The 22,937-nt window shown below is 48.5% G+C and overlaps 1 long non-coding RNA gene across 2 annotated transcripts, besides 1 other annotated feature; it reads left to right on the top strand.

The window, feature by feature from the left end:
- Positions 1–2,068: 2,068 nt before the first annotated feature.
- On the top strand, positions 2,069–15,284 carry LOC112268050 (uncharacterized). Of its 2 annotated transcripts, XR_002956927.2 has the most exons (6): positions 2,069–3,356; positions 3,916–4,094; positions 7,053–7,192; positions 9,002–10,512; positions 11,227–11,295; positions 15,199–15,284. It is a non-coding gene; the product is annotated as an uncharacterized LOC112268050 (long non-coding RNA). The 2 variants fall into 2 exon arrangements; XR_002956925.2 differs by having other exon boundaries at positions 2,069–4,094.
- Positions 6,272–6,566: a silencer, noted in NCBI's record as "tiled region #737; HepG2 Repressive non-DNase unmatched - State 23:Low". NCBI's record gives its function as "represses a minimal TATA promoter and a strong SV40 promoter by Sharpr-MPRA in HepG2 cells {active_cell/tissue: HepG2}" and the evidence as "EXISTENCE:reporter gene assay evidence [ECO:0000049][PMID:27701403]".
- Positions 15,285–22,937: the final 7,653 nt, after the last annotated feature.

Raw genomic sequence — 22,937 nt, 5'->3', positions numbered from 1 at the left:
TTTGAACACAGCTGCTCAAGGGCCTCATCAGTGGACCATGGTCAGAGATGACCTAGCCATCAGGACCTGGTCAGTTGGGACCTGATCAGCAGGGACCTGGTTAGCGGTGGCCTCCTCAGTGAAGATCTCATGAGTGGGTACCTTGTGACCTAGTCATTGGAAGCCTAGTCAGTGGGGACCTGGTCAGTGGTGGCCGCCTTAGTGGGGCCTGATCGGTTGGAACATAAACAATAAAAAACTGGTCAGTGGGATCTATTCAGTATATTAGGGGTCTGGTCAGTGTGGGGCCTTAGACACTTGCAGCCTGGTCATTGAGGGTCTGGTCAGAGGGGGCTCGGTCAGCTGGGGATTGATCCATGGAGAATTGTTCAGTGGAGGTGAGGTGAGTGGCAACCTGGTAAATTGTGGTCTTGTCAGTGGGAACTCAGTCAGTGGGGACCAGGTCAGTGAGAAATTGGTCAGTGGGGTCTGGTCCATGAGGCCTACTAATGGGGGCCTGGTTAGGGAGACAATGGTCAGTGGAGACTTGATCAGTGGGACCTGGTCAATGGAGAAGTGCTCATTAGGGGCCTCATTGGGGGCACCTGGTCAGTAGGAACCTGGCCAGTTAGCCAATGTGTGACCTCAGGCACGGGGTTTGTCTGTGGAGCCTCCTTGCCTCCATCTGTAGGGAAGCTGAGTCAGGGCACCCTGGAGAGTTGCTGGAAAGAGAATGTGAGAAGATGTGTTGAATTCAGCACTGCTTGGCAGACCTCCAACTTTACACACGACCTGGGTTCCACCTAGAGAGGGTGCCAGCCCTCTCTGCTCTGCTCAGCGCCCCTCCTCTGTCTGCATCCCCAGGACCACCCTCGGTGGGGAGGGCAGAGATTGGGGAGCACCTATGGAGGCTCTAATCCTGGCCCTGGGCCCTAGTGGTGTTAGTGATGAGGACCTGGGTGCTCCTGTGAGTGGAGCAGCTAGGCCTGGCCAGAGAAGCAAGACAAACAAACACACCCATATGCACATACACACACACATACACAAACACAACGCATGCTCACATGTCAGTTCAGGGGATAGAGGACACTGACTCTTGGCCCTCTTGACCCAAGCAGGCTCCCGTTGTGGTGGGTTGTGTCACCCCACGATGTCACTCTTTCTGAGTCCCCATCGCCTCTGTGTTGTGGAGCACTTAGAGACACACAGCAGTCTCTGTGAGTGGCTCTGCGTTAAGGATTGTTTTCTAGGTGAAAGGCGCATCTCAACACTGATCAGACTCAGGTGAGTGGGACCTGCTCTCTTCTCTTCCTCCTGGCTTGGGAACAGTCGCTATCAGATGGTTGGTTTTGGCCTCTGCAGCTACTGAGGGTAATCCCTGAGCACTCACCGTGTGCCTTTTCTGTGCTGACAGTCATCTCATTCATCCTTGCAGCAATTCCATTCTGCATCTCCTCTGGACACTCCCAGGACCACCAGGACAACCCCATCACGGCCCTGTCACCAGGCCCAGTCTGGCTCCATGATAACCAAGACGCAGGTCCAGAGACAACCGCCCTGCACGGTGCCTGCATCTGACCCCCTTGGTGGGTAGTGACCAGCACAACATGGAAGAAGCCAGGGCAGCAGGCAGCCAGCTGCCCTGCAGCCCCAGATGGCACCTGGGCCTTGGGAAGTCATTCTTAAAGGGGAAGCTGGAAACTTTGATGTCCCCGGAGGAAAAGGTGAACGTGGCATCCGAACAACCCTGGCAGCCAGCAGCATCTTCTCATCCAACCTGTGGGACAGAGGCCCCCTGCTGGGGAACAAAGATCCATACTTAAAGGGTCCTGGCCCAGTCAAGCCTCATCCTGGGCCCTGGGACGGGAGGGGCACTATGGGCCCCCCAGCAGCAGTCAGGATTACCACCCAGGGGACTCAGCCTTCTGTGGCCCTGGCCAGAGTTAGAATTTGGCCCAACACAGGACAAGCTCACTCAGCAGCGTGTCAGTACCCAGGACCTGTGCATGCCAGGCAAGGCCAAGCTGGCTCAAAGAGCAACCAGCCACCTCTGCAAGGGTGTGCCTGGAGCAGATGGATCAGCCACCAACCTCACCCACTCAAGGAAGCAGGGGTGGCCAGGTTCCCACAGCCTGAGGGGCTGCCACCTGACGGCTGATGGAGTGGAGGCCTGAGGAAAAGCAGATGGCACTGGGGCCCTACCTCCAGGGCAGAATAACTGATTTACCCTGACTGGCAGTGAGTGAGGTTGGTGGCTGGTCCACCTGCACCTGGCACACCCTTGCAGAGGTGGCTGGTTGCTCTTTGAGCCAGCTTGGCCTTGCCTGGCATGCACAGGCCTCAGTGCAACAACTGTGCTGCAAATGGAGCCACATAGAGGAAATGAGCAGCAGGCTCAGGAGCAGGGTGTGCACTGCCTTTGGGGCTCCAGTCCATGCATCAGGGCTCCTACAGCACTGTGGGCTTCTTGGGTGCCAAGAGGCAGACCACAGGCCATCTTGAGAAGGACTCTATGTTCAAGTGCAGAAAGGGCCCAATCTGGTGGATGAACCACACGGCCAGCTTCTGGGTGCAGGCACAGTGCCACATCTTCCATCACTTCCTGATGTGCCACACCAGCACTGAAGAGACAGCCTGGAGACAGGGCAAGAGGAAGGCTAAGAAGGATGAGATGGTGAATTCCAGCTTCTTTCTGACCCTGAGCCCACCCCCAAGGTGGCCCTCAACCTTTAGGAGTGGGAGAACAAGATTGACGGCTTTGAGTGCTTTACCAAGAAGATAGACAACAGGGCACTCAGCTCAATTTCTCAGCCAATGAGTTGACATGCAAGCAGATGATGGTGATGGGCTTTAAGAAAGTGCATCAGAAGGTGGCCAGTTCTTCATCCTCAGCCAGGTCTTGCAGCTGGAGCAGGCCATCACTTCACCAGAGATGCCTTCAACACTGTCGGTGAGTTCTTTGCCAATCAGCCCAGCCAGGAATGGGACCCAGTCATGGACCTGTTAGTGCTGTCTCAGGGACACCAGGCCAACATCCCGGACATCATCCACATACACAAGGAAGCTCTAACCAAAGTCACGGAGAGTAGGCAACATGTGGCAGAAGGGAAGACAGAGGTGCAGAGGCTGATGATGTCGGAATCACAGGAACAGGATTTCTTTGGACACTGTGGCTGAAATTCACCACTTCCATCCAATTCAAGTGAGAAACATGGACTCACAGATGCAGCATTTCTTGCAACAAGAGATACTATTTTTTCAAAAAGTCACCCGGGAATTTATAGTGTTGAATGACTAGATACTTGATTGTGGACTGTTTCCAGTTCAAGGATACTTTCTACAGCAGAACAATAACACTAGCAAAGAGCTAGTGCCAGGTATTGGTGGTAGTACAAGGATGGTTTTGTTCTCAATTGAAACTCAGCTGAATATAGAATTGTGTAGGAAACAGTTAATATGGTGATAGAGTAGAAACAGTAGCAAACATGACCTAAACCATGCTATGAATTCCTACACTACCATTGTAACTTTTGGAAGAATGATACCACTTACTTTATTGCTTTTTGAAGTATGAATATTTTAGTGTATATGCTGTAGACCCCAAACCCTGTGAAGAGTCTCAAAGAAGCTGGCTGGGTAAAGCCTGCTATGGATGTCTTTATATTCAAAGATTGATGATGCAATTTGAATATGTGTCCCTACCAAATCTCATGTTGAATTATATTTCCTAACGTTGAAGGTGGATCCTGGTCTAAGGTGATTGAATCCTGAAGGCAAATTTCTCATGAATGGTTTAGCACCATCCCCTTGCTGCTGTCCTCACAATCATGAGTGACTTCTCATGAGACCTGGTCATTGAAAACTCTATGTCACCTCCCTACTCCGCATGTTTTCCTCTTGCCATGTGAGACAACTCACTCTTTCTTCACCTTGCAGGAAGATTGGAAGATTACTGAGGCCTCCTAGAAGCAGAAGCCCTGTGCTTCCTGTCCACCCTGCAGAACCATGAGCCGATTAAACCTCTTTTTCAAAATGAATCTTACAGAAAATGGCAAATGAGGACTGAAGCATTACTATAAAGATACCTGAAAATGTGGAAACAGCTTTGGAACTAGGTAATGGACAGAGGTTGGAAGAGTTTGGAGGGCTCAAAAGAAGACAGATAGATAAGAAAATGTTTGGACCATCTTAGAGACTGGTTACACGGTTGTGACAAAAAATCCTGACAGAAACAAGGACAGTGAAGGCCAGGTTGAGGAGGTCTCAGATGGAAATAAGAAGCTTTCTGGAAAATGTCTTCCTTTTGGATACGGAAAGCTTACACAATGCCTGTACCATCATTGTACCTTAGAAGCAGTGATCTTGCATTTTATTTCAGAGGCTTATAGGCAAAAGAGGCTATAGCCTTGACTCGGATGAGACTTTGGACTTTGTAACTTTGAGTTAATGCTGAAATGAGTTAAGACTCATGCTGGCAAGGCATGATTGTATTTTGCAATGTGAGAAGGACAAGAGATTCATGGGGTCAGGGACAGAATAATATGGTTTGTCTCTATATCCCTATCAAAACCTATGTGGAATTATACTCCCTAATGTTAGAGGTGGGGCCTAGGTGGAAAAAGATTTAGTCACAAAATGGTGCAGGTAGATCCTTCATGAATGATAAGGCACCATCACCTTGATGCTGTCCTCCTGAGAGTGAGTGAGTTTTCATGTGATCTGGTTGTTTAACAGTCTGTGGAACCTCTTTCCTCACTCTGTCTTCCTCCTACTCCTGCCATAGGAGACATCTCATTGTCACTTGGCCTTCTGGTGTAATTAGGAGGCTCCCTGACTTCTCCCAGAAACAAAAGACACTATGCTTCCTTCACAGCCTGCAGAACCCTGAGTCAATGAAACCTCTTTTATTCAGGATAATACAGAAAATTAGAACTGCAGAGAGGAGCTGTGAAATGTCTTCAAGGCCTTTTTCCCTTTGTCTTTGCTATTAGCACAGGGCTTCTTTATATGCAAATTTCTGAAGTCTTCTTGAATGTTCCCCCTTAAATCGGGTTTTGTGTTATTACTACATAGCCAACCTGCTATAGAGATACCTGAAAAAATAGAAGCAGGTTCAGAAGTGGGTAATGAACAAAGATTGGGAGGGTTTGGAGGGACTGGAAAATGACAAAAAGATGAGGGCCTGGTGGGAGTGATTTAATCGTGGATGGGAGGTGGATGGGGTGGAAGGAAAAAGAGGTGGGCAGGGTGGGGAGGAGAAGGCTGGCTGTAGGGTTGTGGAAGGGTGGGATGTAGTGGGAGTGGGGAGTCACCTGCTGCAGAGGCACAGCCTCATAGACAACCTCTACTAGGGCAGTGCACCTGTGGCTTTGCAAGTTTAGCCCCCGCGGCTGCTCTCATGGACTGGGCTAGTGTTGAGTGCCTGTAGCTTTTCCACAGTGAGGGTGCAAGCTGTTGGTCGGTCTATGAATCTGGCTCTGCCTCTGTAGCAGGCTTCTGCCTGGAAACAGTGGGAGGTGGAGGTGGGTGTTGGGAGGGCGGATCCTTCACCAGTGGTTAAGCACCATCTTCTTGATGCTGACCTTGTGATAGTGAGTTCTCATGAGATCTGGTTGTATAACAGGGTGTGGCACCTCTTTCCTCTCTCAGTCTTGCTCCTACTCCTGCCATATGAAGCATCTACTTGCCCCTTGGCCTTCTGGTATGATTGGGAGGCTTCCTGAGTCCTCCCAGAAGCAGAAGCCACTATGCTTCCTTTACAGCCTGCAGAACTGTGAGCCAATTACACCTCTTTTCTTTATGATTATACACAAAATTAGTGCTGTGAAGTGGAGCTATGAAATGCCTTCAGAGCCTTTTCCACATTATCTTGGAAACAAGCACTCAGCTTCTTTTCATAAAGATATCTGAAGCCTTTGTGAATTTTCCCCCTGAAAATGGACTTTTCTTCTTTTACCACATTACCAGGCTGTGACAAAGATATCTGAGAATGTAGAAGCAGGTTCAGAAGTGGGTAAAAGAGAGAGAGGTCGGGAGAGTTGGGAACCCTTAGAAGACAGCAAGATGAGGAAAAGTTTAGACCACTGAAAATAACTGTTAAATACTTGGGATCAGAAGTCTGACAGAAAGATGGACAGTGAAGGCCAGACTTAAAAGGTCTCAGATGAAAATGAGGAATGTCCTGTGAACAGGAGCCAAGGGTACATTTGATTGGCCTTAGCCCTGGAGATCTCTGAAACTGTGAACATGGGGGTGATGATTTAGGATGTATCTGGTGGAATGAACATCTAGGCAGCATAGCTCAAGAGGTGTCCTCTCTACATCCAACAGCCTGTGTTCTTATGTGTGACCTAAGAAATGACCTCAAGTTGCAACTTCTATTTAAATGAGAAGTGGAGCTCAAAAATTTGAAAAATTTGCAGCCTAGCCAAGTGGTCAAAAAGAAAAGCTGATTTTCAGGGGGGAAATTCAAGAACGCTTAGAGTGTTTGCATAAAAAAGAGCCCAGTGCAAATAGCCAAGACAATGGGGAAAAGGCCTTGAAGGCATTTCAGAGATCTTTTCAGCAGCCGTTGCTGTCACAGGCCCTAGGGATGAGGAGAGAATGGTTTCCTGGGCCAGCTCCATGGCCTGGCTGCTGTGTGCATCCTCAGGACACCGCTGCCTGCATCCCTGCAGCTCCAGCTCCAGCCATGGCTGAAAGATGCACAGGTACAGCTTGGGTCACTGCTCCAAGCCCTGATGGCTTCCACATAGTGTTAAGCCAGGAGGTGCACAGAGCAAGAGACTAGAGGCTTAGGAGCCTCCGTCTAGACTCCAGAGGATGTACAGAAAAGCCTGGGTGTCCAGGCAGAAGCCTTTCCAAGAGGCAGAGCCTCATGGGAAACCTTTACTAGGGCAGGAAAGAAGGGACATGTCAGGTTGAAGCCCTCACACAAGGAGGCACCATCCTTCAAACCCCAGATTCATAGACCCACCAACAGTTTGCACCCTCAGTGTGGGAAAGATACAGACACTCGACACCAGCCTCGTCCATGAGGGCAGCTGCGGGGACTTATCACTGCAAACCCACAGGTGGAGATCTGCCCAAAGCCTTGGGAGCCCAGCCCTCACACCCCTGTGCCGTGGATGTGGGACAAGGATTCCAAAAGGATGATTTTGGAGCTGTAGGATTGAATGACGGGCCTGCTGGGTTTTGGACATTCATGTATCCTGTGAGTCCCATCGGTGTTTTGTTTTTGTTTCTGGCAATTTTTCTTCTGTTGGCTGGGTATGCTTACCCATTGCCTGTACAATCATGTACCTTGGAAATAGTTAACTTGCTTTATAATTCAGAGGCTCATGGGCAGAAGGGACTGTATCCTTGTCTCAGATGAAACTTTGAGCTTTGCACATTTGAGTAAATGCTGGAATGAGTTAAGACTTGGGGGACTGTAGAGGAGGCATCATTGTATTTTGCAATGTGAGAAAGACATGAGATTTGTGGGGGCAGGGACAGAATAATATGATTTGGCTCTTTGTCCCACTGATGTGGAATTGTAATGGGAAATGTTAAAGGTGGGGGAGGGTGGAAGGTGATTTAATCATTGTGGAGAGTGGAGGTTGGAAGATGGGGTTGGTGGGGTGAATTGGGAATTATGGAGGGGGTAGGGGTGAAAGGCAGGGGTGGGGGCAGATCCTTCACAAATGGCTAAACACCATCTCCTTAATGTTGTCCTTCTGATAGTTCTCTTCATGATTTTGTAGCTGTGAGACTGAATGAATACTGCTCTGCTGGGTTTTGGATGTGCATTGGGCCTTTGGTCCCATTTGTGTTATTTTTCTGGGAAATTTCTTCCCTTTGGATTAAGAAAGCTTACCCAATACCTGTATCATCATTGTACCTTTAAAGAAAAGAACTCCGTTTTAACTTCAGGGACTCATAGGCAGAAGAGACTAGCCTTGTCTCGGATGAGACTTTGAACTTTTTATATTTGAGTTAATGCTGGAATGAGTTAAGGCTTTTGGAAACTTTTGAAAAGACATGATTGTATTTTACCCTGTGAGAAGGACATGAGATACAGAAAGGTCAAGTTTGGAATACTATGGTTTGGCTGTGTTTCCCTAGAAAAACTCATGTGGAAGTGTAATCCTGAATTTTGGAGGTGAAGCCTGGTGGGAGGTGATTTAACCATGGATGGGAGGAGGGCAGGGGTGTAAGGAGAAAGGGGTGGGGAGGGTGGGGAGGAGTAGACTGGCCATAGGGTGGTGGGAGGGTGGGAGTAGTAGGAAGGGGGAGTAGCCTGATTGAGAGGCAGAAGCTCATGGAAAACCTCTACTAGGACAGTGCACCTGTGGCTTTGCAGGGTTTAGCCCCAGTGCTGCTCTCATGGGCTGGGCTGTTGTTTAGTACCTGTAGCTTTTCCATACTGAGGGTGTGAGCTGTTGGTGGGTCTATGAATCTGGGGTCTGGAGGATGGTGGTATCCTGCATGGGGGCTCCAAGCCCACATTTTCCTTCTGCACTGCCCTAGTAGAGGTTTTCCAAGAGGCTCTGTCTCTGCCTCAGGCTTCTGCCTGGAAACAGCAGGGGGTAGAGGTGTGTTGGGGGGTGGATCCTTCACCAATGGTTAAGCACCTTCTTCTTGATGCTGACCTAGTGATAGTGAGTTCTCATGAGATCTGGTTGTACAACAGGGTGTGACACCTCTTTCCTCTCTCTGTCTTGCTCCTACTCCAGCCATATGCAACATTTTATTGCTTCTTGTCCTTCTGGTATAATTGAGAGGCTTCCTGAGTCCTCCCAGAAGCAGAAGTTACTATGCTTTCTTTACAGCCTACTACAGAACCATGAGCCAATTAAACCCCTTTTTGTTATGATCATACAGAAAATTAGTACTGCGAAGTGAAGCTATGAAATGCCTTCAATGACTTTTCCCCATCATATTGGCTATTAATACTGGTCTTCTTTTTAATGCAAATATATGAAGGCTTCTTGAAGTTTGCCCCAGAAAATAGACTTTTTTTTTCTTTCTACATTGCCAGGCTGTGATGAAGATAGGTGAAAATGTAAAAGCAGGTTCACAAGTGGCTAACAGCCAGAGGTCGGAGAGTTTGGAGGACTTGGAAGAAGACAGGAAGATGAAGGAAAGTTTGGACCATTGTAGAGACTTGTTAAATAGTTGTAATTAAAATGCTGACAGAAGGAGGAACAAAGGCCAGGCTTATGAGGTCTCAGATGAAAATGAGGAACTTACTGGGAACAGGAGCCAAAGTTACTTTTGTTTTGCTGTAACAAAGAACATGGGTGAGGGTGACCTTGCCCTTGAGATCTGTGAAACTTTAAACTTGAGGTTGATGATTCAGGGTGTATCTGGTGGAATGAACATCTAGGCAGCAAATCTCAAGATGTGTCCTGTCTGTGTCAAACAGCCTGTGCCCTTATGTGTGACCAAGGAAATGACCTCAAGTTGTAACTTATATTTAAATGACAAGCAGAGCTCAAAAGTTTGGAACATTTGCAGCCTGGCCAAGTGGTCAAAACAAAAGCTGATTTTCAGAGGGAAAATTCATGATGGCTTCAAAAATTTGCATAAAATGAAGGCCAGTGCTAATAGCTGAGGCAATGGGGGAGAAAGCCTTGGAGGCATTTCAGAGATGTTTGCAGCAGCCCTTGCTGTCACAGGCCCTGGGACCTAGGAGAAAAGAGTGGTTTCCTGGGCCAGCCCCATGGCCCTGCTGCTGTGTGCAGCCTCAGGATACAGCTGCCTGCATCCCTGCAGCTCCAGCTCCTGCACCAGCCTTGTCTCAAAGATGCACAGGTACAGCTTGGGACACCACTTCAGAAGGTGCAACCTATAAGCCTTGGTGGCTTCCACATAGTGTTAAGCCAGTGGGTGCACAGACCACTAGTTCAGAGGCTTGAGATCCTCCATATATATTTTGGAAGATGTGTGAAAGTGCCTGGGTGTCCAGACAGAAGGCTGCCAAAAAGCCAGAGCCTCATGGGAAACCTCTACTAGGGCAGTGCAGAAGGAAAATATGGGGTTGGAACCCCCACACTGGAGGCCACCATCATGCAGACCCCAGATTCATAGACCCACCAAGAGCTTTGTACCCTCCATGGGTAAAAACTACAGGCACTCAACACCAGCACAGCCCATGAAGGCAGCTGCATGGGCTGAACACTGCAAAGCCACAGGTGCAGAGCTGCCCAAGGCCTTTGGAGCCCAGCCCTCACACCCTTGTGCCCTGGATGTGGGACAAGGATAAAAAAGGGGTGACTTTGGAGCTGTGGGTTTGAATAACTGGCCTGCTGGGTTTTGGACTTTTCATGGAGCTTGTAAGTCCTATTTGTGTTTTGTTCTCTCAGGCAAAAATATTCCTTTTGGCTAGGAATTCTTAATGCCTGAACAATCATTGTACCTTGGAAGTAGTTAACTTGTTTGTATTTCAGAGGCTCAGGGGCAGAAGAGACTGCCTCATCTCAGATGAGACTTTGGGCTTCAGACATTTGAGTAAATGCTGGAATGAGTTAAGACCTTGTGGCACTGTAGGTAAGGCATCATTGTATTTTACAAAGTGAGAAGTACATGAGACTGGGGGAGGCAGGGACAGAATAAGATTTGGCTGTGTGTCCCTAAAGAAACTCATGTGGAATTGTAATTGGAAATGTTAAAACTGGGACAGGTGGAAGGTGATTTAATCATGGAGAGCAGTGGGTGTTGGAAGGTGGGGATTGGGGAGGATGGGGGGATTTTGGTGGGGGTGAGGGGTGAAAATGGCTGTTGGGGGAGGATCCCTCCCAAATGGTTAAACACCGTCTCCTTAATGCTTTCCTCATGATGGTGAGTTCTCGTGATGATTCTGGAGCTGTAAGATTAAATGGATACTGTCCTGCTTGGTTTTGGACTTACACTGGGCCTGTGACCCCACTTGTGTTACTTTCCTGACAAATCTCTTCCTTTTGGATTGAGAAAACTTACCCGATGCCTGTACCATCATTGTACCTTGAAAAAAAGAACTCCCTTTTAAATTCAGGGACTCATAGGCAAAAGGGACTGTAGACTTTTCTCAGATGAGATGTTGAACCTTTTACATTTGTGTTAATGCTGGAATGAGTTAAGGCTTTTGGAAGCTTTTGAAAAGGCAAGATTGTATTTTACTCGGTGAGATGGATATGATATTTGGGGGATCAGGGTTGGAATAATATGGTTTGGCTGTGTGTCTCTACCAAAACACATGGGAAATTGTAATTCTGAATGTTGCAGGTGTGGCCTGGTGGGAGGTGATTTATTCCTGTACTTGAGAGGGGTGGAGTTGGAAGTAAAAAGAAGTGGGTAAGTTCGGAGCAGTAGGTTGACTGTAGGGTGGTGTGAGGGTGGTGGGTAGTAGGAAGGGGGAGTAGCATGCTACAGAGGCAGAGGCTCATGGAAAACCTGCACTAGGGCAGTGCACCTGTGGCTTTGCAGGCTTTAGCTCCCATGGCTGCTCTCATGGGCTGGGCCGGTGTTGATTGCCTGTAGATTTTCCCTACTGAGGGTGGGAGCTTTTGGTGGGTCTATGACTCTGGGGTCTGGAGGATGGTGTTATCTTGCGTGGGGGCTCCAAGCCCATATTTTCCTTCTGCACTGCCCTAGTAGAGGTTTTCCAAGAGGATCTGCCTCTGCCTCAGGCTTCTGCATGGAAACGGGGGGGTGGATGTGGGGTATTGGGTGGATCCTTCACCAATGGTTAAGCACCATCTTCTTGATGTTGATCTCCTGATACCGAGTTCTCGTGAGATCTGGTTGTATAACAGGATGTAGCACCTCTTTCCTCTCTCTGTCTTGCTTCTACTCCTGAAATATGAAACATTTCATTGCCACTTGGCCTTCTGATATAAATGGGAGGCTTCCGGAGTCCTCCTAAAAGCAGAAGCCACTGTGCTTTCCTTACAGCCTCCAGAACTGTAAGTCAATTCAACCTCTATTATTTATGTACATGAAGAAAGTCAATGCTGTGAAGTGAAGCTATGAAATGCCTTCAAGGCCTTTTCCCCAATCTTTTGGCTGTTAGCACTGGGCTTCTTTTATGCTAATATCTGAAGCCTTCTTGAAGTTTTCCCCTGATAATGGACTTTTCTTCTTTTACCACATTGCCAGGCTGTGACAAAGATAGCTGAAAATGTAGAAGCAGGTTCAGAATTCGGTAATGGCCAGAGGTTAGAGTGTTTGGAGAGCTTGGAAGAAGACAGGAAGATGAGGGAAAGTTTGGACCATTGTAATTACTTGTTAGTTGTGATTAAAAAGCTGACAGAAGGATAGACAGTGAAGGCCAGGCTTAGAAGGTCTCAGATGAAAATGAGGAGTTTACTGGAAACAGGAGCCAAGGTTACATTTGTTTTGCCTTAGCAAAGAATGTCGCTGCATGATGCCCCTAACCTGGAGATCTGTGAAACTTTGAACTTGAGGGTGATGGTTTCGGGTGTATCTGGCAGAATGAACTTTTGGCAGCAAAGCTCAAGAGGTGTCCTGTCTGTGTCCTGGTCTTCTGTGTGACCAAATAAATGACCTCAATTAGAAACTTATATTTAAATTAGAAGCAGAGCTTAAAAGTTTAAAAAATTGCAGCCTGGCCAAATGGTCAAAAAGAATAGCTGATTGTCAGTGGGAAAATTCAAGACAGCTTCAGAAACTTGCATAAAATGGAGCCCAGTGCTAATAGCCAAGACAATGGGGAAAAGGCCTTGAATGCATTTCAGAGACCTTTGCAGCAGCCCTTGCTGTACAGGCCCTGAAGCCTAGGACAGAAGAATGGTTTTCTGGGACAGAATGGTTTCCTGGCCCAGCCCAATGGTCCCCTGCAGTGTGCAGCCTCAGGACACTGCTGCCTACATCCCTGTAGCTCCTGCTCCAGCCATGGCTGAAAGATGCACAGGTACAGCTTGGGTCACTGCTTCAGGGTTGCAAGCTCCAAGCGTTTGTGGCTTCCACATAGTGTTAAGCCAGCAGGTGCACAGAGCACAAGACTAGAAACGTAGAAGTCTTCATCTAGACTCCAGAGTATGTATGGAAAATCCTGGGTTTCCAGGCAGAAGCTTTTCCAACAGGCAGAGCCTCATGGTAAACCTCTACAAGGACAGTACACAAGGAACATATAGGGTGGGAAGCCCCCACACCGGGAGGCACCATTCTCCAGACCCCAGATTCATAGACCCACCAACAGCTTGCACCCTTAGTGTTGAAAAGCTACTGGCACTCAACAGCAGCCCAGCCCATGAGGGCAGCTTTGGGGAAAGACCTTGCCATACCACAAGTGCTGAGCTGCCCAAGGCTTTGGGAGACCAGCCATCAAACCACCCTCTGCTCTGGATGTAGGATGTAGATTCAAAAAGTATGATTTAGAGCTGTATGATGGAATGACTGGCCTGCTGGATTTTTGACTTGCATGGGGTCTGTAAGTCCTATCTGTGTTTTGTGCTTCTTTCTTTGGCAAATTTCTTCCTTTTTGCTGGGAATGTTTACCCAATGCCTGCACAAACATTGTACCTTGAAAGTAGTTAACTCGCTTTGTATTTCAGAGGCTTAGGGGCAGAAGGGACTGCAGCCTTGTCTCAGATGAGACTTTGGGCTTTGGACATTTGAGTAAATGCTGGAATGAGTTAAGGCTTTGGGGGACTGTAGAGAAGGCATAATTGTATTTTGCAAAGTGAGAGTAACATGAGATTTGGAAGGCCAGGGGCAGAACAATATGATTTGGCTCTGTGTCCCAACCAGAACTCATGTAGAATTGTGATGGGGAATGTTAAAAGTGGTGCTTGTTAGAAGGTGATTTAATCATGGTGGACAGTTGAGATTGGAAGTGAGGGTGTGGTGAGTTTGGGGGGTTTAGGCTGGGGGTGGGGGTGAAAGATGGGGCTGGGGGGCAGATCTTTCACAAATGGTTAAACAGTATGTCCTTAATGCTGTCTATGTGAAAGTGAGTTCTCATGATGAATGCATACATACTCTCCAGGTTTTTGGGCTTTCATTGGACCTGTGTCCCAATTGTGTTATTTTTCTGGAAAATTTCTTCCCATTGGACTGAGAAACCTTACCCAATGCCTGTACCATCATTGTATCTTGAAAGAGAAGCACTCCCTTTTACATTCAGGGACTCTTAGGCAGAAGGGACTGCAGCCTCGTGTTGGATGAGACTTTAATCTTTTTACATTGAGTTACTGCTGGAATGAGTTAAGACTTTTGGAAACTTTTGAAAAGGCTTGTTTGTATTTTATTCTGTGAGAAGGACGTGAGATTCAGGGATTTTATGGTCAGAGTAATATGGTTTGGCAGTGTTTCCCTACAAAGATCATGGGAAATTGTATTCCCAAATGTTGGAGGTGGGGCCTGGTGGGAGGTGATTGAATCATGGATGGGAGGGAGTTGGGGGTAGAAGAAAAAAGGAGGGGGTAGGGTGGGGAGGAGTAGGTTGGCAGTAAAGTGGTGAGAGGCTGGTGGGTAGTAGGATGTGGGAGTAGCCTCCTGCAGAGGCAGAGCCTCATGGAAAACCTCTACTAAGGCAGTGCACCTGTGGCTTTCAGTGTTTAGTCCCATGGCGGCTCTCATGGGTTGGGCTGGCCTTGAGTGCCTGTAGCTTTTCCATACTGAGGGTGCAAGCTGTTGGTGGGTCTATGAATCTGGGGTCTGGAGGATGGTAACCTCCTGTGTGGGAACTCCAAGCCCATATTTTCCTTCTGCACTGCCCTAGTAGAGGTTTTCCAAGAGGCTCTGGCTCTGCAACAGGCTTCTACATGGAAACAGTAGTGGGGTGGGGGTGTTGGGGGGGGCCAGATCTTTCACCAATGATTAAGCATCATCTTCTTGATGCTGATTTTGTCATAGTGAGTTGTCGTGAGATCTGGTTGTATAACAGGGTGTCACACCTCTTTCCTCTCTCTGTCTTGCTCCTACTTCTGCCATATGAAACATCCCATTGCCGCTTGGTCTTCTGGTATGATTGGGAGGCTTCCTGATTCCTCCCAGAAGCAGAGGCCTCTATGATTCCTTTAAAGCCTGCAGAACCATGAGCCAGTTCAACCTCTTTTCTTTATGATCTTACAGAAAATTAGTGCTCGGAAGTGGAGCTATGAAATGCCTTCAAGGCCTTTTTGTCTTATTGTCTTGGCAATCAGCACTCAGCTTCTCTTCATGCAGATATCGGATCCCTTTGTGAATTTTTCCCTTGAAAATGGACATTTCTTCTTTTTACCACATTGATAGGCTGCAACAAGGATGGATGAAAATGTAAAAGCAGGTTCAGAAGAGGGTAACAGCCAGAGGTTGGAAAGTTTGGAGGCCTTGGAAGAAGTCAGGAAGATGAAGGTAAGTTTTGACCATTGTAGAGACTTGTTAAATAGTTATAATTAAAAGGGCGACAGAAGGATGGACAGTGAAGGCCAGGCTTACAAGATCTCAGATGAAAATGAGGAATTTACTGAAAACAGGAGCCAAGGTTACTTTGGTTTTGCCTTAGCAAAGAATATCACTGCATGATGCCCTTAACCTGGAGACCTATGAAACTTTGAACTTGAGGGTGATGATTTAGGGTGTATCTAAATCATAGGGTGTATCTAAATCACAGACATGAACTTTTGGCAGCAAAGCTCAAGAGGTATCCTGTCTGTGTCCAAAAGCCTGTGGTCTTCGGTGTGACCAAATAAATGACCTCAAGTAGAAACTTAAATTTAAATGAGAAGCAGAGCTTAAAAGTTTGGAAAATTTGCAGCCTGGCCAAGTGGTCAAAAAGAAAAGCTGATTTTCGGTGGGAAAATCCAAGACAGCTTCAGAAATTTGTATAAAATGGAGTCCAGTGCTAATAGCCAAGACAATGGGAAACAGGCCTTGAAGGCATTTCAGAGACCTTTGCAGCAGCCCTTGCTATCACAGGCCCTAAGGCCTGAGAGAGAAGAATGTTTTCCTGGGCCAGCTGCAAGGTCCCACTGCTGTGCTCTGCCACAGCACACAGCTACCTGCATCCCTGCAGCTCCAGCTCCAGCCATGGCTGAAAGATGCACAGGTATGGCTTGAGTCACTGCTTCAGGGGTACAAGATGCAAGCCTTGGTGGATTCTACATAGTGTTAAGCCAGCAGGTGCACAGAGCAAAAGGCTTGAGCCTTGGGAGCCTTCGTCTGGACTCCAGAGCATGTACAGAAAAACCTGGGTTTCCAGGCAGAAGCTTTTCCAAGAGGCAGACCCTCATGGGAAACCTTTTCTAGGGTAGTACAGAAGGAACATATGGAGTTGGAATCCCCACACATGGAGGCACCATTCTGCAAACCCCAGATTCATAGACCCACCAACAGCTTGCACCCTCAGTGTGGAAAGCTACAGGTGCTCAACACTAGCCCAGCCCATGAGGGCAGCTGTGGGGGAAAGACCCTGCAAAGCCACAGGTGAAGAGCTACCCAAGGCCTTGGGAGCCCAGCCATCACACCCCTGTGCTCTGGATGTGGGATTTAGATCAAAAAGAGATGATTTGGAGCTGTACGATGGAATGACTGGCCTGCTGGGTTTTTGACTTGCATTAGATCTGTAAGTCTCATCTGTATTTTGTGCTGCTTTCTGGCAAAGTTTTTTCTTTTGGCTGGAAATTCATACCCAATGCCTGTACAATCATTGTACCTTGAAAGTAGTTAACTTACTTTGTATTTCAGAGGCTCAGGGGCAGAAGGGACTGCAGCCTTGTGTCAGATAAGACTTTGGGCTTTGGATACTTCAGTAAATGCTGAAAGGAGTTAAGACTTTGGGGGACTGTAGAGAAGGCATCATTGTACTTCGCAGTGTGTCAAAGATATGAGATTTGGGAGAACTGGGGTCAGAATAATATGATTTGGTTCTGTGTCCCTACCGATACTCATGTGGAATTGTAATGGGGAACGTGAAAGTTGGGACCTGGTGGAAGGTGATTTAATCATGTTGAAGCCTGGGTGTTGGAGGTAGGGGTGTGGGGAGAATGGTTGAGATTATTTTGGGGGTGGGGTTGAAAGATAAGGATGGGGGGCAGATCCTTCACAAATGGTTAAACACTATCTCCTTAATGCTGTCTGCATGATAGTGAGTTCTCTTGATGATTATGGAGCTTTAAGATTGAGTGAATACTGTCCTGCTGGATTTGGACTTGCATTTGTATTATTTTTCTGGGAAATTTTTTCCCTTTGGATTGAGAAAGCTTACCCAATACCTGTACCATCATTGTACCTTGAAAGAAAAGAAATCCCTTTTGAATTCAGGGACTCATAGGCAGAAGAGAATGTAGCCTTGTCTCAGATGAGACTTTGAAGTTTTTACATTTGGAATGAGTTAAGACTTTTGGAAAATTTTGAAAAGGCATGATTGTATTTTGCTCTGTGAGAAAAACATGAGATTCTGGGGTATCAAGGTCAGAATAATATGGTTTGGCTGTGTGTCCCTGTGAAACTCATGTGGAATTGTAATCCCAAATGTTGAAGGTTGGGCCTGGGGGAGGTGATTTAATCATGGATGGGAGGGGGTTGGGGGTGGAAGGAAAAAGGGTGGGAAGGGTGGGGAGGAAAGGGGTTGGCTGTAGGGTGGTGGGAGGGTGGTGGGTAGTAGGGAGGGGGAGTAACCTGCTGCAGAGACAGTGGCTCATGGAAAACCTCTACTAGGACAGTGCACCTGTGATTTTACAGGGTTTAGCCCCTGTGGCTGCTCTCATGGGGTGGGCTGGTGTTGACTACCCATAGCTTTTTCACACTGAGGGTGTGAGCTGTTGGTGGGTCTATGAATCTGGGGTCTGGAGGGTGGTGGCCATCTGTGTGGGGGCTCCAAGCCCATATTTTCCTTCCACACTTCCCTAGTAAAGGTTTCCCAAGAGACTCTACCTCTGCATCAGGCTTCTGCCTGGAAACAGTGGGAGCTGGGGGTGGAGGGTGAATCCTTCACCAATAGTTAAGCACCATCTTTTTGACGCTGACCTTTTGATAGTGAGTTCTCATGAGATCTGCTTGTATAATAGAGCATGGCACCTCTTTCCTCTCTCTGTCTTGCTCCTACTCCTGCCACATGAATCATGTCATTGCCCCTTGACATTCTGGTATGATTGGGAGGCTTCCTGAGTCCTCCCAGATTCAGAAGCCGCTATGTTTCCTTACAGCCTGCAGAATCATGAGCCAATTAAACCCCGTTTCTTTCTGATCATAGAGAAAATTAGTACTGGGAAGTGGATGTGTGAAATGTCTTCAAGGCCTTTTCCCTGTTGTCTTGGCAATCAGCACTCAGATTCTTTTCATTCAAGTATCTGAGGCCTTCTTGAATTTCCCCCCTGAAAATTGACTTGTCTTCCTTTACCACATTGCCAGGCTGCGACAAAGATAGCTGATAATGTAGAAGCAGGTTCAGAAGGGGGTGGCAGACAGAAATCAGGAGAGTTTTGAGGGCTTCAAAGACAGGAAAATGAGGAAAAGTTTGGATCTTTGTAAAGAATTGTTAACTACTTGTGATCAGGAGGCTGACAGGAAAATGGTCAGTGAAAACCAGCATTAGAAGGTCTCAGATAAAAATGAGGAACTTACTGGGAACAGAAGCCAAGGTTACTTTTGTTTTGTTGTAGCAAAGAACATGGCTACACAGTGACCCTGCCCTGGAGATCTGTGAAACTTTAAACCTGAGGGTGATGACTTAGTGCATATCTGGTGGAGTGAACTTCTAGGAAGCAAAGCTCAAGAGGTGTCCTCTCTGCATCGAACAGCCTGTGCTCTGATGTGTGACCGAGAAAATGACCTCTGGATGGGACTTACATTAAACAAGTCACAACTCTTATATTAAATGAGAAACAGAACTCAAAAGTTTGGAAAATTTGCAGCCTGGCCAAATGGTCAAAAAGAAAAGCTGATTTTCTGGGAGAAAATTTAGGAAGGCTTCAGAAATTTGCATAAAAAGGAGCCCAGTGCTAATAGCCAAGACAATACGGAAAAGCCCTTGAAGGCATTTCAGAGACCTCTGCAGCAGCCCATGCTGTCACAGGCCCTGGGCCCTAGGAGAGCAGAATGGTTTCCTGGGCCAGTCCTGTGACCCCCCTCTATGTGCAGCCTCAGGACACTGCTGCCTGCATCCCTGCAGCGCCAGCTCCAGCCATGGCTGAAAATGCACAGATGCAGCTTGGGTCACTGCTTCAGAGGGTGCAAGCTAGAAGCCTTGGTAACTTCCTCATAGTGTTAAGCCACTGGGTGGATGGATCATGAGACTAGAGGCTTGGGAGCCTCTCTGTAGACTTTGGAAGATGTATGGAAATGCCTGGGTGACCAGACAAAAGCATCCCCAAAAGGCAGAGCCTCATAAGAAACCTCTACTAGGACAGTGTAGAAGGAAAATATGGGGTTGGAGCCCCCACACTGGAGGCCACCATCATGCAGACCCCAGATTCACAGACCCACCAACAGCTTGTACCATCAGTTGTGAAAAGCTACATGCACTCAACACCAGCGCTGCCCATGGGGGCAGCTGTGGGGCATAAACCCTGCAAAGCCACAGGTGCAGAGCTGCCCAAGGCCATCAGAGCCCAGCCCTCTTGTCCCTGTGCCCTGGATGTGGGACAAGGTTTCAAAAAGGGTGATTTTGGAACTGTAGGATTGAATGACTGGCCTTCTGGGTTTGGAGTTTCATGGGGCCTGTAAGTTCTGTACGTGTTTTTTTCTTTCTGGCAAAATTCTTCCTTTTGGTAGAGAATGCTTACCCATTGCCTGCACAAGCATTGTACCTTGGAAGTAGTTAACTTGCTTTACAGTTCAGAGGCTCATGTGCCTAAGGGACTGTAGCCTTGTGTCAGATGAGACTTTAAGCTTTGGACATTTGTATGAATGCTGGAATGATATAAGACTGGGGGGGACTGTAGGGAAGGCATCATTGTACTTTGCAATGTGAGAAGGACATGAGATTTGGGAGCCAGGGACAGAATAATAAAGTTAAAGGTGGGGCCTGGTGGAGGGTGATTTAATCATGGTGGAGAATGGGGGTTGGAAGGTGGGGGGTAGGCAGAATGAGGGGATTATGGTGGGGGTGAGGGGTGAAAAGTGGTGGTGGTGGGGCGGATCCTTCACAAATGATTAAACATCATCTCCTTATTGCTGTGCTTATGATAGTGAGTTTTCTTCATGATTTTGGAGCTATGAGATTGAATGGATACTGGCCTTCTGGGTTTTGGACTTGTATTGGGCTTGTGGTTCTATTTGTGTTTTTTTTTTTCCTGGGAATTTTCTTCCCTTTGAATTGAGAAAGCTTACCCAATGCCTGTACCATCATTGTACCCTGAAAGAAAAGAACATCCTTTTAAATTCAGGGACTCATAGGCAAAAGGGACTGTAGACTTGTCTCAGATGAGATGTTGACCTTTTTACATTAGAGTTAATGCTGGAATGAGTTAAGACTTTTGGAAACTTTTGAAAAGGCATGAATGTATGTTGCTCTGTGAGAAGGACGTGAGATTCTGGGGTATCAGGGTCAGAATAATATGGTTTGGCTGTGTTTCTTTACCAAAACTCCTGTGAATTGTACTCCTTAATGTTGAAGGTGCGACCTGGTGGGAGGTGATTTAATCATGGCAGGAGGGGGTTGGGGTTGGAAGGAAAAGGGGTGGGTAGGGTGGGAAGTAGGTTGGCAGTAGGGTGGTGGGAGGGTGGGGGGTAGTAGGAAGGGGGAGTATTATGCTTCAGAGGCAGAGGCTCATGGAAAACCTCTACTAGAAGAGTGCACCTGTGGCTTTGCAGGCTTCAGCCCCCATGTCTGCTCTCATGGGCTAGGCTGGTGTGGAGTGCCTGTAGCTTTTCCATACTGAGGGTGTGAGCTGTTGGTGGGCTTATGAATCTGGGGTCTGGAGGATGGTGGCCTCCTGTGTGGGGGCTCCAAGCCCATATTTTCCTTCTGCACTGCCATAGTGGAAGTTTCCCAAGAGGCTCTGCCTCTGCAGGAGGCTTCTGCCTGGAAACAGTGGGTGGTGGTATGGGCGGTGGTTCCTTCACCAATGGTTAATCTTCTTGATGCTGATCTCCTGATAGTGAGTTCTCATGAGATCTGGTTGTATAACAGGATGCGGCAGCTCCTTCCTCTCTCTGTCTTACTCCTACTCCTGCCATATGAAATATCTCATTGCCGCTTGGCCTTCTGGTATGTTTAGGAGGGCCCTGATCAGTGTGGGCCTCATCAGTGGACCTAGTCAGTTGGGACTTGGTCAGTGAGGCCTATTTATTGGGGGCGTGGTCAGCAGGGGTCTGCTTAGAGAGGGTCTCATTAGGGGGATCTAGTAGTGGGGTCTTGGTGAGTGGGGACCTAGTGGCAGCCACTAGTTTGGTGTCTGGTCAGTGTAACACTGGGCTGCGGGGCTTTGTCAGTGGAGACCTGGTCAGCTGGGGCTTAGTGGTGGCCTTGTCAGCATGGGCTGGGTCACTGGTGACCAGGTCAAGGGGTGCTATTCAGTGGAGGCCTGGTCACATGGGACCTAGTCAGCAGGGCCTGGTGACCATGTCCTCATCAGTGAGGCCCTTGTCAGTGGGGCCCTGGTCAGGGCAGCCTAGTCAGTGGAACCTAATCAGTGGGGGCCTGTTCAGAGAGAGCTTGGTCAGTGGTGGCTTTTGTAGCACTGGTCTATGGGGTGACCTGGTGAGCAGGGATCTGAGCAGTGGGTGCCAATTCAGTGGGGCCTGCTCACTAGGGTCACAGTCAGGGGCATCTGGTCACCAAGGCCTGGTTAATACGGGCCTGGTCAGTGGCAGCCTGTTCCCTGGAGGCCTGGTCAGTGGGGCCTCATCTGTGGTGCCAGGCAATGGGATCATTGTCCAGTAAGGGTCACCCTACTGCCTGTGGTGCCAGGCAGTGGGGTCACTGACCAGTAAGGACCTGGTCGTGAGGCCTTGTCAGTAAGGACCTGGTCGGTGAGGCCTTGTCAGTAAGAACCTGGTCGGTGAGGCCTTGTCAGTAAGGACCTGGTCAATGAGGCCTTGTCAGTAAGGACCTGGTCAGTGAGGCCTTGTTAGTAAGGACCTTGTCAGTGGGGCCTGGTCAGTAAGGTCCTGGTCAGTGGGGTCCTGGTCATTGTGGGCCTGGCAGCAGGGGCCTGGTTAGTGGGGCCTGGTCATGGGGTTCTAATCAATGAGGGTGTGTTCTGGGAGGACCTGATGTGTGGGATATGGTCAGCAGGGACCTGGTCAGTGGGGGCTGCTGAGCACTGCTGGGAGATGTCAGGTGCAATGCACGTTATGGAGGGCCCTGTGGATAGTTGGGATGGCCCAGTAGTGCCCAAAGTCCCAGTCAAAAGTGGACAAAGCAGGTGTTTGGATGGACCTAGGAGATCTTGCTCAGAGATATTGAAAGGACAAAGGTAAAGGAAGGGCCAGAGTGGCCAGATAGATGGTCACAGTCTATCAGCTGCACAGGATAGAGGAAGCCAGGGAACAGGCAGGGTGGGCAGCTGGGGTGCAGGGAGAGGCAGGTGCATGCTGGGAGGTCAGACCTTGTGAGGGCTGTGGGGGTGTCAGGTGGGGTGGGCTCCAGGTGCACCCTCAGTGCACTGGGCAGATCTCAGCCCAGGCTTCCTGGACCCTGGTCGGGTGATGTGGTCACTCCCTGGGGGATTGCTATCAGGCACTGGGCACCCACCATGGGCAGCACTGTCCCATCTCAGGACTGGACTTTCTCAGATCCTGCAGAGGGCACAGCTTCCAGCGCAGGAGGGGCAGCCCCATGGTGCAGCCCGAGCTCTCCGTGGGCTTGGAGTGTCCCCTGCCAGCCCTGCGCTCCCTCTTCTCCTGGGTCCCACTTTTCCAGTGTCAGCCAGCAGAGAGGCTCCATCCTCCCTTCCCTATGTGTCTCCTGGGCTGAAACTTGCAGCGGATTGGGACAGGGATGGTGCTTCCCTCAGGCCCATTTAGGGAGGGGACTGGCTCCCAGCCTGGCACAGGTCCTCAGCTCTGCCTTGGTTGCTTTAGAGTGAGATGGATCAGTCAGTGTC

The sequence above is a fragment of the Homo sapiens genome, chromosome 9 (assembly GCF_000001405.40).
Source record: "Homo sapiens chromosome 9, GRCh38.p14 Primary Assembly".
NCBI classification, from domain to species: Eukaryota; Metazoa; Chordata; class Mammalia; order Primates; family Hominidae; genus Homo; species Homo sapiens.
The sequence above is the reverse complement of the archived record's forward strand: the minus strand, read 5'-3'. Positions and strand labels throughout refer to the sequence as shown.